Source organism: Homo sapiens, chromosome 6, assembly GCF_000001405.40.
Source record: "Homo sapiens chromosome 6, GRCh38.p14 Primary Assembly".
In the NCBI taxonomy this organism is placed as follows: domain Eukaryota; kingdom Metazoa; phylum Chordata; class Mammalia; order Primates; family Hominidae; genus Homo; species Homo sapiens.
The window spans coordinates 134938460-134956862 of record NC_000006.12 but is presented as its reverse complement, the minus strand read 5'-3'; the positions used below and the strand labels follow the sequence as shown (position 1 = coordinate 134956862).

Sequence of the window (18403 nt, the reverse complement as noted above, 5' to 3'; positions counted from 1 at the left end):
AGAATCCACTTCCTTTTCTGTTATGAATATTTCGGAAAATATTTCAAATAAATGAAAAGTTCCAAGTCCAATAGAAAAAATTTTTTTCCTAAACCATGTTGCCACATGATGTCCCATCACTACTGAATTGAATATCTGTTTCCTACAAAGTATTCTCCACAGGTCGGGTGCAGTGGCTCACACCTGTATTCCCAGCACTTTGGGAGTTCAAGACCAGGAGAATACCTGAGTCCAGAAGTTAAGATCAGCTGGGGCGACATAGTGAGACCCCATCGCTACAAAAAAATAATAAAAAAAAATAGCCAGTCATGGTAGTGCATGGCTGTAATTCCAGCTACTCGGGAGGCTGAGGTGGGAGGATTGCCGGACACCAAGAGGTGGAGGCTGTAGTGAGCCATGTTTGTGCCACTGCATTCCAGCCTGGGTGACAGAGCAAGACTATCTATCTGTCTGTCTGTCTATCTTCTGCACAACCACAATAATAATCATCAAAATCAAGAAATTAATATATATAGATCACAGCTATTCAACCAGCCTCTGTTAACATTTCATCAACTGAAACAAAAATGTCTCTAACCCCACTTTGTTCCTGCTGTAGGGAGGGCGAGGCTATTCTCTGACTCGTCTTGGAGGCCTGCTTTCTAGGGGTTGGGGAAATCCCATGCTCAGCCACACTCCCACCACCCTAGTTCTTCAGTGGATGGAGAATTGTTGAGAACATTTACCTTAACTTTTCTGGCTCAGCATCCAGCAGAGGGTCTCACTGTCACCTAGGCTGGAGTGCAGTGAGCAATGATTGTGCCACTGCACGATCGCGGTTCACAGCAGCCTTGACCGCCCAGAGCTCAAGTGATCCACCTCAGCCTCCCAAGTAGCTGGGACGACAAGCATGCACCACCACACCCGGCTAATTTTTTTCTATTTTTTTATAGAGATGGGGGTCTCACTTTGTTGCCCGGGCTGGTCTCAAACTCCTGGGCTCAAGTGATCCTTCCACCTCAGGCCTCCCAAAGTTCTAGGATTACAGACGTGAGCCACCATGCCCGGCATTAAAGAATCCACTTCAAGATACAGAGTCTTTTTCTGAAAGCCTCCTGTTTGTGTTGCCCGTGAATCCCACATGGCATAGAGAAATTTTATCTCCACTTTGTTGTTCCTGGCACCTTAACAGAGTGTTAATGTAGATTTCTGGGTACCTATTCTGCCTAATGCTGATCCATGTTCAGCTATATACTAGGCAAGTCTTTGCATCTGTCCTTTGTTCTTGATCCCAGAATGGAAGTCTAGGCAACCAGGGCTTCCTCACAGGGTGAACAAATAACCAGTGAGATCCCTGGCCTCATTCCTGGTCAATTGTATACATGGCCGGAGAAGCCCATGTTATAAGCCCTGCACCTCTTCTATTCTAGATATGCCTGAAAACATCTTGTTAAATCTCTTGGATGATAAGAAGTGGTCCCTGGCCAAGTAAAACCCTTCCTGTGAAAATCAATTCCTAAAAATCTTTGCCTTGGTCAAACTGGATCTGACCACAGAGTTAGGAAGCCTGGAGGATCTGCTGCTGCATGGGAGTTGAGAGTGAGGGAGTCTCATACCTTAGTACGTTTTGAAAAGAAAAACAATGCCAGTCACACCCATTTTAAGGTATTGTGGGTCAGAATCATTTCTATAGTCCACTTTGCTGAGCAGTTTTTTCCACTTAGTATATTTGGTGTAAGGTATTATTTTCTCTGGTTATCCTTGGCCATTTGGCCCAGAACAACTGCATCTTAATTGATCCTAATGTCTGATCCTCCACAAGTGTCCAGTCACAGATATCAATCAAGGGACTGTGGAGTCAGATGGTAGCTGCTTCCACAGTTTGTGGCCTTTGTAATATCAATACAATACCCCTTAACTGGGTTTAAGTTTTGTCATCTTAGCAGTGTTTCCATACTGGAGGAGGTGTACACCTTCGCTCTGAAGGCTCTTACCTTCCTCCACTGACCACAGCTTTAAGTCTTGCCTCTGAGCTGGGCACTGGACTTTCACCTCCTTGGTTAGGGAAGTAGGCTAGGGTTGCATCATTAACATGGTATGTAGCACCTGTCAGGCCCCACGCATTTGGCCATGCCCTTTTCTTTGAGGAAAAGAGCCACGTCTCCTCACAGAGGGCTCTATTCCTGTCTAGATATGGGATCAGTGCCCAGGGACTGGTATCTGCAAGATAGCATCAATGAGAAATTTTGAAATTTTAGCCAACTAAAGTTATATGCCTGCTAACCAGGGTAGGCTTGTTTATGCTGTGATTGGTTAGAAATTGACCCCCAAATACAGTGGTATAGGAAAACACATGTTTATTTCATGCTAATTATCACCACATAATAAGACTGTACTCCATAGAGTGACTCAGCAGTCCAGGCTGACAGAGGTTCTTCATCCTGTACCTGCCACCTGGAACACACAGCCTTCCTGGTCTATATGGAAGTGGGAGAGACAGTGGACAGTCCCCAGCAGGCTTGGCGTTTACTCAAAGACCCTGGCCAGAACTATCCAAACAGCCCCACCTCATTGCAAAGGGGCTGAGGAGTACTCAGGAGGAGAACTGTATGTTAGAGAACATTAGGGTGGCCACCACAGGGGACACCTAGCATTTTCCCCAAAATGGCTGAGTTTAATATAAGCATACGTGTTAAGGTCTTATCTGTTCACACTTGAAACAGAATCCCATATACATACTTCTTGAATTTCTCTCTTATACCTTGTTCCTCTCCTCACTCAGTTTTTCTAGCCTTCAGCTCTATCTCTTGGGGGATCCTGCAACCATCATCCCAAGACAGTGATCCCATTCTGAGCGCTAACCTTGGAGGGCAAGGGCACGTCCCCAGATTCCTCAGAGTGGAGCACATGCAACCAAAGAAACCTCTAGTGTTTCATATTGATAACCTTGCATAGGATAATTCTGACATGCGATTGTGCACAAAAGTTCCTCCTAGGAGTGAGGCTAAGAAGATTGGGGTTTGAGGGGCTGGCAAATGGGCAAGAGAACAACATCATGCCACATATAAGTGAGGGTAGTTATTCCTATAACAACAGCACTTTTCATTTTCATTCATTCTGTGTAATGTTTTCAGTAGGAGAGAAGGATTATAGAGGAGAGGACAGAGGCCAGAGAGCCAGAGAAAGTTCTTTTAAATTTTTGTTTATTATATTATTTTGTTTATATGATATGATATTGGAGAGAGGAGCTCATTTAAAGGCTGAAAGCGCCAGGAGAGAGGAGAAGAATGAAAAGTTAGATGATAATCCAGTGAGCAAGGTTCTTGTGGAGACAGAAGGAAAATGACGCCCCAGAACAGGTATTTATTTGGAATTACCATCTTGTCTGTCTTTCAACCTCCTCTCCATGCTTCTGTATCCATCCTCCCCTATCCTTCTCCAAATGAATGAACTCTGATGGCTCCATTTCACTCATGGCACTCTCTGTTCCCCATCCTGTGTTTCTCCTGAGTCTAGCGTACCCCTCCCAGCTGCCTCATGCTACCATGCTGTGATTTTTGTTTACCACTGTGGGTAAAAACAAAACTCCAGTACACCTGGGGCCCCCTAAATCAGGATTGTCTTTCCCCTTTTAAAGAGAATAACTTTTGTTGTATTAGATAAAAACACCCTATTCTCTTTTGTAATATTCTAGAGCAACTAGTTCTCTTAGAATATTAGTATACTTAATACCTCCCATTTATAATTTTTTCTCAGTTGCACTCAAGGTCTTGAGTCCCCTGTCCTCACTGTGCAGGACCTGGCAGTGAATCCACCCCTTGGGATGTGGTGGGGGGTGGATTCTGTGACCGCAAATGGGAGTACGTTTCACCCATGGGTCAGAATGCTGTTACAGGGATGTGGTAAGAACAGATCTGCATTCAGCAGGACACACTGGCGAGCAGATGGAGCCAGCCAGAATAATTCAGGAGCAGGTGATACCCACATGTCCAGTGAAGCAGGTAGAACTACCTAGAAGTAGGTTCTCAGCCACTAGGCCCAGATATAGGATTTCATGTCTCTTCAAGGGAAACCGACAGGAGAAACGTTGGTGCCAACTTAGAGAAAAGGCCTTGAAGGCATGTCAGAGCTCAGGTATCAGGACTGGGGTCAACTGACATGACCAGACTCTGAATGAGGCCCATGCTCTGTCCTCCAGGATGAAAGTCTCCCAGCTCAGCTGAGCTCTGATTCCAGAGTCATCTCTGTGGTTGACCTGCAGGTGGGGATCAAATGGTTGCACTGTGGACAGAAAAGGGCTGACAGGGGGAAGTGGGGGAAGGCCAAGTACATTATGAAAAACCAGCGAGGCCAGGCACAGTGGCTCACGCCTGTAATCCCAGCACTTTGGGAGGCTGAGGAGGGCGGATCACTTGAGGTCAGGAGTTTGAGAACAGCCTGACCAACATGGTGAAACCCCGTCTCTACTAAAAATACAAAATTAGCCAGGCGTGGTGGCACATACCTGTAATCCCAGCTACTTGGGAGGCTGAGGCAGGAGAATTGCTTGAACCCAGGAAGCAGAGGTTGCTGTGAGCTGAGATCATGCCATTGCACTCCAGCCCGGGCAACAAGAGTGAAACTCTGTCTCAAAAAAAAAAAAAGAAAAAGAAAAACCAGCGAAGGCCCAGCTTGAGCAGCCAATGGCACAAGAAAATGGCACAAGGAGGCCACTGTAACTGACAGACACGCCTGCTCTGCCACTGGGACTGATCTTGTGTGGGGAGTTCTGATCAGCACCAGGCACTCTTTAGAAGCACCGTGTCCGGCTTCTGTCCTCTTCTACTGTCACGTGGCAGAAAATTCCTCTCTCATGCTATCCTGGGTAAAGTCCTTTCTTCAAAAAGATCTCCCTTCCATAGTCCTCCCATTAGAATCTTTTGCACTCTGTACAAAAAGACAAACATTCTGATGAGTCCATCAACATTAGGCAGAGTTGTTGGAGACCCAGGAAGATGGGCTACAGAAGTCTTTATGCACACACCGGGTGGTACTCACTGTCTCTCAGCACCAAGCTCACTTCTTGGTACTTCACTCTGTGGTGCCAGGGCTGGGACCTGCGTATTTCTCTCATTCTGTTTCCAGCTGACCTGACCGTGGGCAGCACCAGAAAAAGCCTGAGACTACCTTCTGTCTCCAGTCCCTGTCAGCGACTCTCCAGCGACAGGCAACGGCGCCAGCTCCAGACTCCAGCTGCTCTGGGCCTCCCAGAATCAGCCACACCATGCTTGTCAGAAGTCTCAGCAAGAATTTTGGAGAATATCTAGAGACCAATAAAGATGGAAGCAGAGAGGGCCTAAGGAGGTGCACGGCCAGCAAGTGCCCTCATGTGATCAATGAATTTTAGAATATTGGTACCTAACCTTCAACTGAATTATAACTATAAATCATAATTATAAAAGTAATATAGGCTTGCCATAAAATATCCAAGCAGTTTAAAACGGCTTCCTGTCAACCATGTAAATAGCCAAAGAAACTATGCTGTATATATTATTCACTAGTTTTATTTTTTCACTTAACAATGCATCCTTCTAATGTCTAAGTAGTATTCCCTGTTAAGAATATAACAATTATACTCTAATATTCTCCAATTGATGGACTTTAGGTTGTTTTGATTTTTAAATTATGATAAAAAAGGATGTCCTGTGACTTATGTACTTGTTCATGAGCACGTAATTCTGTAGGAGAGATTCCTAGAAGAGAAATTGACCAGACCCTGACAAATTGCCCCAAGCAGTGTTCTGTGAACCCTCCCGCCTATGGACTAGGGATGATTCTCCACATCCTCACAGAGTAGATGTTCTCAATCTTTAAAAATGCTCTCCAGTATGATTGGCAAATCAGGCCACCTCTGTATTTCACATTCCTTGCTTAACAACAAGGCTGAACATTGTTAATATATTCATTAGCCAATTGTGTTCCTTTTCCTATGGATTGCTTTTTTGTATCTTTGCTTATCTTTTCTGTTGGGGTGCTCATTTCTCTTACCAATTTGTAGAAATTCTCAGCTACATCAGGGATCTGAAGCCCTTGCTATATGTGTCACACATGTTTTTGGCTTGTCTTTATCTCCATGGCACATCTAGGAAGATGTGAGCAGCCACTGTGGCCCCGGTTTTGGGATGGAGAGACAGCTCTTCCAAGAGAGGGCAGCCAAGGTAAAGAAACACAGATGAGCCACGGAAAGAGGGCATCTGTCTTCAGTTACCTCTGCAGGGTAAGCAGTGATGCATTGAGGAAAAAGTATATGATTTGGAGATTAAAGGGCTACAGTTCATCCCCTGCTAACTATGTGACCTTGGAAAAATGGTCTAACCTCTCCAAGGCTCAGTTTCTTCTATAAAAGAGAGGAAGTAATGGTTACTTCATATAGGATTGTTGTGTGGAATAAACGAGTAAATTCATGTAAAGGACTTGCTTTGGGGCCTGGCATCCAATCAGTGTTTGAGCAATGAACAGTTTACGGTGTGAACCCAATAAAATCACATGCACAGATGCCTTCTGATGATTTAAAGGGCTATGAACACATAAGTAAGTAGCTGTTACTTTTACACACAATTATCCATGTCAGGTAATGTACTAGAAGTCTGTGAAACATTCAGCCACTCTCTTAGTTCTGAGTTTGGAGACTGGAATGCTCTCTGAGAGCGTCAGGTGCCCTCCCACATTCACTGATTGGTAAAGGGGAAGATGGGGGCTGGGAAGGGGGAGGCTCACTCAGGAGTCCAGACAGTGGTGGGGACAACCTGAGTGCTCAGTCGTAAAGAGGAAAGGCAGAATTTTTCCTTGCTATGGCTGGAACAAACGCACTTTTGATGCTGGAAAACTTCATAGATGGAAAATTTTTACCTTGTAGCTCATATATAGATTCTTACGACCCATCAACAGGGGAAGTGTATTGCAGAGTGCCAAATAGTGGAAAAGACGAGGTGAGTATATGCACTTAAAGAAGACTGAAATGTGTTTAATATGTTGGCCAATTATGGGTAACAGTTTTCTAAAAGCAGAGGGAGTTGGGGGAAGATGTAGGATTGTTAAACATGATAGAAGGAAGATTCTAGTTCTCAGAAGATGTACCTTGTAACTGGACTGTATGATACCTAGAACAAATCTCTTCCTATATGCAGAAAGTAAGTCATTTTTCTAGCCAACCTAACACAGCCCTGTGTGCAGTTTTTTTTTGCAATTCTCAAACATTTCCTAATCAGTGTCTAGTACAAAGTATTATTTGTAAGAGCTATCACTTTGTTAAATATTCCCTTTTCTCCACCACGCACTGCTTAAATTTACCACTATATCCATGGAATTAAAAAAAAAGTATAGCTTTACTAAAATAAACAAACAAGCAAAAAACTGTGGGCTTTGTTTTAGATTGTCTTCTCATAATTTGTCATGTCTTCAAAATACCTAGTAAAATAAAATCAATCATTTGAATGATGAAACTCAAAATCAAATTCCCATATATTTTTGGAGTTAGATTTAACAGCGTCTTTTTTCTTATCCAAAGTGTTTAATGGCATATGCATTACATTTTTTTGGTGATGTAGAATTAATTTTACTTGGAGAATTTTGTAAAATATTTGAGATATATTTGATTAGCTATCAATTATTGCACTGAGAATGTAAATATATCTGAAGTGGTAAATGTAGCTGATGTATATATAGTCATCTAATGCCTTATGAATTATAATTTATTCTTTTTAAGGCACAAATAACTAGATTATTTAAAATATAGTCTTCCTATAAAAATATATATTCCATGCAAAGTTTTTTTTTAAGAACATTGCTATTTTTTTTCTTTTTTGTTAATACTTCAAATCTGTCTTGCATTTAAAGTAAACCTTCAGACTTAGGGATTAATGTTTGCAAATGTTGGTTAATGCATTGGTTAAATTATAAACTGCAATTTTGTTTGCTTCAAATGACTTAACACAGCTCTGGGAAATCCAGCTTTGTGTTTTCCACTCTTCCTTGTTTGCCAAAGTGAAGTTAAAAATGACAAACATGCCAAATTCAGCTGAAATATTTCCTGCAGCTAATGGCTCATAACTTTTTAGAAAATAGAATGAGCTATGGATGCGCTAGCTAGTAGAGTAATAGATATGTTCAGTTTCTCAGCAATCCAACTTCCAAATATCCTATCTGATCCCATAAGTCATAGTTTTTTCCGGCTTGAAAAATATGGTTACCATACAAACTGCATGTCCAATTTCCAAAACATCACTCAGGAAAATGTTGCTGGTGCTGCTAACAGTGGCTCCCGTTTATTCAACTTTTGCTTTGTGCTTTGCAGTCATTAAGCCCTTTTTTAACAAAAAATTAAAAAATTGATACATAATAATTGTACATCTTTATGGGCATATGTGACATTTTGATACATGCATACAATGTGTCATGATCAAATCAGGGTAATTAGGATCTCCATCACATTAAACATTTATCATTTCTTGGTGTTGGGAACATTCCAAATCTTTTCTTCTAACTATTGTGAAATATACAATAAATTATTGTTAACTATTGTCACTCTACTAGAACTTATTCCTTTTAACCATATTTTTGTATTAATTAGCCAACCTCTATCCTCTCCTCTACCCTTCCCAGCCTCTGGTAACCATAATTGTACTCTCTACCTCCATGAGATCAACTTTTTTAAGCTTCCACATATGAGTGAGAACATGTAATATTTGTATTTTTGTGCCTTGCTTACTTCACTTAACGTAATATCCTCCAGCTCAAATCGTGTTGGTGCAAATGACAGGATTTTGTTCCTTTTTATGGCTGAATAATATTCCATTGTGTATATATACCATATTTTCTTTATCCATTCAGCTGTTGATGGACATTAGGTTGAGTCCATATCTTGACTATTGTAAATAGTGCTTCAACAAATATGGGGGTACAGGTATCTCTTCAGTATACTGATTTCCTTTTCTTTGGATAAATTTCCAGTAGTGGGATTGCTGGATCATACTGTTGTTCTATTTTTATTTTTTTTTTTTTGAGAAACCTACATGCGTTTTCCATAATGGCTGCACTAATTTACTTTCCCACCAACACTGTATTTGTCTTCCCTTTTTTTTTGCAGCTTCACCAGCCTTTTTTATTTCTTATTTTTTGATAATGACCATTTTAACTGGGATGAGATAATAACTCGTTGTGGTTTTGACTTGCATTTCCCTAATAATTAGTGATGTTAAGCATTTTTTATATACCTGTTGGCCATTTGTACATCTTCTTTTTGTGGAATATCTCTTTAGATCATTTGCCCGTTTTTAAATTGGATTTTTTGGGCGGTGGCTATTGAGTTGTATATGTATATATACAAGCTCAAGCTCCTTATATATTCTGGTTATTAATCCCTTGTCAGATGGATAGTTTGCAAATATTTTCTCCCATTCTGTAGGTTGCCTCTTAACTCTGCTGTTTCTTCTGTTGTGCAGAAGCTTTTTAGCTTGATATTATTTTATTTTGTTTATTTATTTTCTTTTGTTGCCTGTGCTTTTGAGGTCTTGCCCAAAAAAATCTTTGCCCAAATCAGTGTCATGAAGTATTTACCCTATGTTTTCTTATAGTAGTTTCATAGTTTTGGGTCTTACATCTATCTAAGTCTTTAATCTGTTTTGATTTGTTTTGGTGAGAGATAGGGGTCTAGTTTCATTCTTCTGCATATGGTTATCCAGTTTTCCCAGCACCATTTATTGGAGAGACTATGTTTTCACCAATGCATATTTTTGGCAGCTTTGTAAAAAACGAGTTGGCTGTAAATGCATGGATTTATTTCTGGATTCTCTATTCTGTTTCACTGGTCTATGTGTCTGTTTTTACACCAGTGCCATGCTACTTTGGTTACTATAGCTTTGTAGTATATTTTAAAGTCTGGTAGTGTGCAATCAGTAAGCCCTTTAATATAGATTATCCAAAGAAGCGAGTTGTAACAACTTAGAAGTCTCTATTATGATCCTTATTTTACAGAGGACAGTACTAACACTCTCATCTCTGATGCTTAGATCCATGGGCATGTGCACCTGTGCGTGCACGCACACATGCGCACCTGTGCGCGCGCGCACACATGCGCACCTGTGTGCATAGCACATTTGCATTATAGCATTGCAGTTATAAGCACATACTAGAGTCAGACTGCCTGGTTCAAATACAAGCTGCACCACTTGGTATCTATGGCTTTGACTTAGAGCTGAACTTTTGCATGCCTCAGTCTCCTCATCTATAAAATGAGGATAATAATGATATCTACTTTATAGTGTTATTCTGAGGATTAAACTGACTAATATGCTTAAAGCCCTTAGTGCTTGGCATATAGTAAATGCTTTCTATGTATTAACTTATGCTAATATTATTGTATGTAGTACATTAATATGTATTCTATATTACATGGACATAAGTTGTGCTATAAGGCAACTTAGAAAATATGAGTGGACTTGAATTTTCTGAATAGCAAAAAGACCAGATTTTTACATTGACTGTAGGAATTCATGCTCCTCTTGCTGGCTGGCAGTGGGGCTTCCTCATGGCTGCAGCTGGTGGTGGAGGTCACCAAAGCCATCTCTTCCCCTATCCTGTCTGCAGGTCCACATTCAAGATTTAGTTTTTGAGGTGAAGCCACCATATTTCTAGAAATTTCTAATTAAGATGAGAATCATTTTATACCTTACTTCAGCTCAGCTAAAAGTGACTGTATTAGTTCGTTCTAACACTGCTATAAAGATAATACCTGAGACTGGGTAATTTATTAAGGAAAGAGGTTTAATTGACTCAGTCCTGCATGGCTGGGGAGGCCTCAGGAAACTTACAATCATGGCTGAAGAGGAAGCAGGCATGTCTGGCGGCAGGCGAGACAGCGTGTGAAGGCCAAGAAAAACTACCATTTATAAAACCATTAGATCTCACGAGAATTCACTCACTATCATGAAAATAGCCCCCACAAACCAATCACTTTCCTCCCTCAACACAGGGGGATTACAATTCAAGATGAGATTTGGGTTGAGACACAAAACCTAGCCATATCAGTCACTTTGCATGAGGGAAATGAAGGAGGGGTGTGGGTCAGGTTTTGCATGAGGGCTAGCACAGGCTCAGGCGGCTAGATTACTTCGGGTCAAGCGCCCCAAAAAAGATGCTCACGGCTGCCAGAAGCCTATGGAAAAGGATTCTGAGTCTGAGCCAGGGCCCGGTGGTGGAAGACAGCTGTGATTATAATAATTTTTCATGCATGTGAGAAAGGAGAGGAGTGAGACATGGGTTAGGGATTTGTCATCTCTGGAGAAGGCATTACTTAGACATTGCCGGAGAGAAGAGAAAGGCAGAAGAGGACTTGAAAATTATTTTGTCTACATAACATTTTGGCCATGAGTTGACCCTGCCCATACCTTCCCATACATATATTGTTTCCTTTTGTATGTAACTCTAAAAGGAGGTACCCAAGCCATCTGTCCAGCCACAAATCTCCTCTTCTCCAATAAAGCCTCTTCCACTGGGCAGAATCAGGCAGCAGGCAGAGCAACCTGTGGTCCTGGGAACCACCAAAATCTGGGTTTGAGTCCTGATTCTGCCACTTATTAGCTGTGTGACCTATGGCAAATTGCTTGAGTTTCTATGTCTCAGTTTTCTCATCTGTAAAATGGGCATAGCAATACTCATGTTATAGAATTTTGAAAGGACTTAAATAAAAATAATTTGTGTAAAGTATTTAGCATATTCCCTTATATAAAAATTAGTCAATAAATTATAAATATAATTAGTCATTTCAAGTGAAAATGACAATCTGAGGATGTGATTTCACCCAAAATTTCAGACTTTATAAGATATGTCAGAGCTGAGTTAGAAGCTTTAGAGATTCCACATATCTAGATTAATTTTCTTCTTCTACTGTATATATAATATATACATACTATATATACTATATATATATAGTATATATGTATAACATATACATTTTTTTGAGACAGGGTCTTACTCTGTCACCTAGGCTGGAGTGCAGTGGCACAATTACAGCTCACTACAGCTTCTACCTCCTGGGCTCAAGTAATCCTCCCACCTTAGCCTCCTGAGTAGCTGGGACTACAGGCATGCACCACAACGCCCAACTAATTTTTTAAAAAACCTTTGTGTAGAGACAGGGTCTCACTATGTTGACCAGGCTGGTCTCAAACTCCTGGGCTCAAGCGATCCTCCCAACCCAGCCTCCCTAAGTGCTAAGATTACAGGCATGAGCCACCACTCCTGGCCCACAATATTTTTAAAAATTCTAGTTTCTGAAGTGATTGAAAATGTACATATGTTAAAATTCAAATAGCTTCTTTCTAATGATCTGATTACTACATTCAGGATGCATTGGTTGAAATGGAGCGCGTTTCTTTGTTTCTATGGTACCCCTCCTTTGCTGGTCATGTAAACACCTGTGTCATCTACTTTGTGGGTGGCTCAGCACTGGGACATGTTGAATATTCAAAATTAGGGTGGGCCAGGTGCAGTGGCTCACACCTGTAATCCCAGCACTTTGGGAGGCCGAGGCGAGTGGTTCACTTGTATTCAGGAACTCAAGACCGGCCTGGTCAGCATGGTGAAACCCCCTTTCTACTAAAAAATACAAAAATTAGCTGGGCATGGTGGCACATGCCTGTAATCCCAGCTGCTCAGGAGGCTGAGGTGGGAGAATCACTTGAACCCCGGAGGCAGAGGTTGCAGTGAGCCAAAATTGCGCCACTGCCCTCCAGGCTGGGCTACAGAGTGAGAATCCATCTAAAAAACAAAACAAAACAAAACAAAAATGAGGTGTGTGGAGACCTGAGGATTCTGGTTTTGTCCATCCCCCAAGGACTAACAGCTTTAAGGTGACCCTTTCTCCCATTTGCTCCTCAAAGATCGAAGCCGCGGTCAAGGCCGCCAGAGAAGCCTTTCCCAGCTGGTCATCCCGCAGCCCCCAGGAGCGCTCACGGGTCCTGAACCAGGTGGCGGATTTGCTGGAGCAGTCCCTGGAGGAGTTTGCCCAGGCCGAGTCTAAAGACCAAGGTGAGAGTTGCCTCTTAACTGTAACATGGGACTCAGGGCATCTCTGATTATTCATGTTATCCCTCTTGGGGCCATCAGGCCAGCCCATGTGCCTGCTCCTCTGGCAATAGTAGAAGTGGAGAGCAAACCCTCCCCTGCTCCAGGCCTGGGAAGGCCAGGACTTGTGGCTGGCCCAGCCCTGTCTCATTCAGATGGCCAGAGAAAGTCACATGGCTGGATCCAAAAGCTGAGGGGCAAAGAAATATACTCTGTTCATTGGATGAAAGGAAGTGCAAATATATACAGCAAAGGGCATGGATATAGGGAGAGATGAAGAACTAGGGCTGATCATGCAGTCTCCTACTCATTCTAAGCAGAGAATTTCAAAGCAAAGATAATTTGAAAAGCAGTTATGCAGTCAGATTATTTAGGATGTTTTCTGATATGTCAGTCACCATTCCACTCCCGACACATCTCATTTTTTTTTCCCACTCTTTCCCAGAGGTCAGAGTAATGGAGTAAATATTTGTAAATTTTTGCAAGAATATCTGTTAAGATAAGCCAAGAGTTTTAAAAATTACATGTGTGCCATAAACCAATCAAAAATCAGAAAGCAGCCTGAGTCCAAGCCCTTAAAAAGAAAATAGTTCTCTGCTGGTGTTCCTGGCCAGGCTCCCTGCATCGCTAAAGAGAACTCAGTAGCAGTCTAGGTAAGCTTCTGTTTCTCTTTCTGTTCCATCCAGGAGCTAGGACGTGCAGGGCATGTGATGGGCAAGCAGGTGCCACACAGCATCCCGTGCCAGGGCATTCCCAGCCGCTCTTCTGATGACTCTACCATGTGTGGGGAGGTCATGAAATACACATTACATGTGTATAAAAGTGTTTCGTTTTGTGCTGTGCAATTACAACTGTCCTAACACCCGTATTTCAATGCCTTTGTCGCAGGTACAAAGCCTGGTGATTTTGAATTGCAAGAGTTTGTGTGGGTGAAGTGGTAGCATCTGGCAAACTGGTGATGAGAATGATGTGTTCAGTTCACAGAACAAAGATTATTGACTCAATTTTAACCCCCCACCTCAGTTTCCAACCTTATACCTAAATATTGTATGGTTTTATCAAACCATGATCAAGTCTTTGTGAGGTCAAGGAATGCCTGCCCCGGGCTAGAAGGAATCCAGGCTGTTTCAGTGTGAGTTGGGACGCGTGGGCAGTGGAAGCTGATGGATAGAGTGTCCCCATTAGCTGATAGTGCTTTATGTTGTTTGCTTCTTACAGGGAAAACCTTAGCACTGGCAAGAACCATGGACATTCCCCGGTCTGTGCAGAACTTCAGGTTCTTCGCTTCCTCCAGCCTGCACCACACGTCAGAGTGCACGCAGATGGACCACCTGGGCTGCATGCACTACACGGTGCGGGCCCCGGTGGGAGTCGGTGAGTGCTGTTCAGTGAGAGCCCACCTCCCGGTTATGCTTGCAGATGCTCACAACATTCTATGGCATTGTCCTCAAGGAACAGGTTAAAGAAAAGGAAGAGCTGATATTTTTCTTTTCTAAAATCCATTGGCCTCAAAGATCTATTTCTAGTTTATTTTCTTTGTGTCAAATTCCCTGCTTTTCTTTTTAGACAGCGTCTTGCTCTGTCGCCCAGGCTGGAGTGCAGTGGCATGATCTCGGCTCACTGCAACCTCTGCTTCCCGGATTCTAGTGATTCTCTAGTCTCAGCCTCCTGAGTACCTGGGACCACAGGTGCGAGCTACCACACCGGCTAATTTTTGTGTTTTTAGTAGAAACAGGGTTTCACCCATGTTGGCCAGGCTGATCTCAAACTCCTGACCTCAAGTTATCCTCCCGCCTCGGCCTCCCCAAGTGCTGGGATTACAGGCGTGAGCCACCACGCCAGGCCTCATGTTCATGACTTATCTGGAAAATCATAGGGAAAAGAATGATGCTAAGAGTAAATATGTAAATTCACATGCCAGGATTTTTTTTTCTACTTATATTTAAAAAAGGAAAAATCAGGCTGGGCGCAGTGGCTCACGCCTGTAATCCCAGCACTTTGAGAGGCTGAGGCAGAAGGATCATCTGAGGTCAGGAATTCGATCAGCCTGGCCACCATGGTGAAACCCCGTCTCTACTAAAAATACAAAAATTCACCGGGCGCGGTGGCTCATGCCTGTAATACCAGCACTTTGGGAGGCCAAGATTGGCGGATCGCCTGAGGTCAGGAGTTCGAGACCAGCCTGGCCAACATGGCGAAACCCCATCTCTACTAAAAATACAAAAAGTTAGCTGGATGTGGTGGCGGGCACTTGTAATCCCAGCTACTTGGGAGGCTGAGGCAGGGAGAATTGCTTGAACCCAGGAGGCCGAGGTTGCAGTGAGCTGAGATTGTGCCATTGCACTCCAGCCTGGGCGACAAGAGTGAGACTCGGTCTCAAAAAAACAAAACAAAACAAAACAAAAAAACCCAGCCGGGCGTGGTGGCATGCATCTGTAGTCCCAGCTACTTGGGAGGCTGAGGCAGGAGAATCACTTGAACCTGGGAGTCGGAGGTTGCAGTGAGCTGAGATGGTGCCACTGCACTCCAGCCTGGGTGATAGATCGAGACTCTGTCTCAAAAGAAAAAAAAAAGAAAGAACTATTTATGTACATTAAATAAATTAATAAGTGTAGGGCATGTAGTATGGTGCCAGGTGTGTGATAAATAAGCCTCTACTGAGAATTATCTTACTTCATGCATTCCTTTGCCTCTTGACCTTTGGAAGAACGTATAAATAAATGTCTGTGATGACTAAAACCTTCCACCAGATGTCACTGTTTCCTCGGAGAAAAAAATCATCTTTTTAGCTTATTACATTTTATGAATATAAGCTAAAAGGAAAACAATTGGGACATCTCATTGCTTTGGTTACTTGAAACCTTCAGAAATTATGTTTTCAAGGCATTGTGGAAAGCTCTACCTCCTCCTAGGAAGTGTGCTAATATATTTTGCTGCAAAAATATTTTTATCCCCTAAAGAATGGATTTTTCAGTGGGAAATTTAATAATATAAAAGATGCATTTACTTTCATAGCACAGGCTTGAGGGAAGAGTATAAAATAAGGTGAATCAATTTCCTTTCAGAAGGTAGATTTTTATATTTGTTTGTTTTGTGATTGGAAACCTGGATAGGTTCAGAATATTGCATGGAGACACATTCTAGCTGCTGGTTACGTTACTCATCCAGCAAATCTATCTGGTCAGGATACAAGTGACAATCTAGAGAGAATTTTTATTTAAAAATATTCTAAATAGCCAAAATGGATGTCACAGTCCATGCACCAAAGGTTATTGGCTTTACTGATAGGAGGGCCCTCACATGGAACACTCAGAACTCATTGGCCCCTATTTTATGAATAATTATATAAAGCTTGAGATTTTATGTCTCAACCCATGACAGATTTGAAGTAAAGGTAAAGAAACATGTTAGAAGAAATAACAGCCAGACCGTTAAAATAATGGGGAAGGAGACATTTTTGAAAAAGTAAAGCTCAGTCTATAAATCTCAAAATGCGTCACATTCTGGAACTGTTTAGTGACAGGTGACAACTGTTTTTTTATTTTTTATTTTTTTTTGAAGTTCCAGGGTACACGTGCAGGACGTGCAGGTTTGTTACATAGGTAAACGTGTGCCATGGTGGTTTGCTGCACCTATCAACCCATCACCTAGCTATTAAGCCCAGCATGCATTTGCTCTTTATCCTAATGCTCTTCCCCCCGACTCTCCCCTGACAGGGCCTGCTGTGTGTTGTTCCTTTCCCTGTGTCCATGTGTTCTCATTGTTCAGCTCCCACTTATAAGTGAGAACATGCAGGTGTTTGGTTTTCTGTTTCTGTGTTACTTTGCTAAGGATAATGGCTTCCACCTTCATCCATGTGCCTGCAAAGGACATGATCTCGTTCCTTTTTATGGCTGCATTGTATTCCATTGTGTATATGTACCACATATTCTTATCCAATCCATTATTGATGAGCATTTGAGTTGATTCCATGTCTTTGCTATTGCTATTGTGAATAGCAAAGTGCTGCAATGAACATACGCGTGCATGTATCTTTATAATAGAATGATTTATATTTCTTTGGGTATATGATAGGTGACAACTCTTTAGCTCTGGAGTTTATATTGCTGTTGTTCATAATCATGAACTGCCAAGAAATGGGGAAATCATATTGACTTTACTCTGTTTTAAAAGATACAGTTGCTTGGAATATATTTTAGAATTATTTCCCTGAAAGTGGCTACAAATAAGCAAAGCTTGGGAAGAAGTTAGAAGAGTAAGCTAAGTTTTCTGCAGCATGAAGGAGTTTTGCGTTAATAACCCCACTTGGCCAGTCCACCTCAGAGGGGTATGCCGTCACAGGCAGTGCTTCTGCTCTCATCCCTTAGCTGGTCTGATCAGCCCCTGGAATTTGCCACTCTACTTGCTGACCTGGAAGATAGCTCCAGCGATGGCTGCAGGGAACACTGTGATAGCCAAGCCCAGTGAGCTGACTTCAGTGACTGCGTGGATGTTGTGCAAACTCCTGGATAAAGCAGGTAATTAGGTGTTGGGGTTGGGGGGCAGGCACAGAGTTGGAGCAAACCTATAGTTTATAGAAATCTTCCACTCAGCAGCACAATCGATTCCAGTGACATCATGGGCTTTGTCTTTCTGATCCTTGTCTGGGAAATCCCCTCCACCCACAGGGTTCCCTCACCCTGCTTCCTGTCTTCAACACCAGAACGGTGCTACTGCAGGCAAGTTCCACTCCCCAGGGTGGGCGACTGGCAGCACAATAGTGACGCAGACTTAAACAGCCCCATCAAATCAAAGACACCTGCCTGCTCCAGAGAGTCAATTAAAATCTTAAGTTGGGGCCAGGTGTGGTGGTTCACGCCTGTAATCCCAGCACTTTGGGAGGCTGAGGTGGGTGGATCACGAGGTCAGGAGATCGAGACCATCCTGGCTAATACGATGAAACCCCGTCTCTACTAAAAATACAAAAAATTAGCTGGGCGTGGTGGCGGGCGCCTGTAGTCCCAGCTACTTGGGAGACTGAGGCAGGAGAATGGCATGAACCCAGGAGGCGGAGCTTGCAGTGAGCCGAGATTGCACCACTGCACTCCAGCCTGGGCGACAGAGTGAGACTCCGTCTCAAAAAAATAAATTAAAAAATAAAATAATAATAATAATAATAAAATAAAATCTTGAATCACAAGTTAATCCTGATGACAATAAGAATATTGCTAGGTACACCTACAGTTTGCTTGGCTATAGAATACCTAGTAGAAGTAGCCCGATTTCAAGAGATCTAAATATACATCCTTCAGTTTTTCCTGCCTTTGGGACTGCTACTGGAAAG

General features: G+C 42.4%; 1 protein-coding gene across 3 annotated transcripts in view; it reads left to right on the top strand.

Annotated features, from left to right (window-relative positions):
* ALDH8A1 (aldehyde dehydrogenase 8 family member A1) overlaps positions 6762 to 18403 on the top strand; it is a 32709-nt gene continuing 21067 nt past the window's right edge. For 2 of the 3 annotated variants that reach the window (NM_170771.3, NM_022568.4), the window contains exons 1-4: positions 6762 to 6947; positions 12897 to 13044; positions 14299 to 14454; positions 17448 to 17597. In NM_170771.3, coding sequence (NP_739577.1) covers positions 6810 to 6947; positions 12897 to 13044; positions 14299 to 14454; positions 17448 to 17597 — 592 coding nt within the window. In that variant the 5' untranslated portion in view covers positions 6762 to 6809. The remainder of the gene's footprint in view (positions 6948 to 12896; positions 13045 to 14298; positions 14455 to 17447; positions 17598 to 18403) is intronic. The other variant, NM_001193480.2, reaches the window with a different exon arrangement.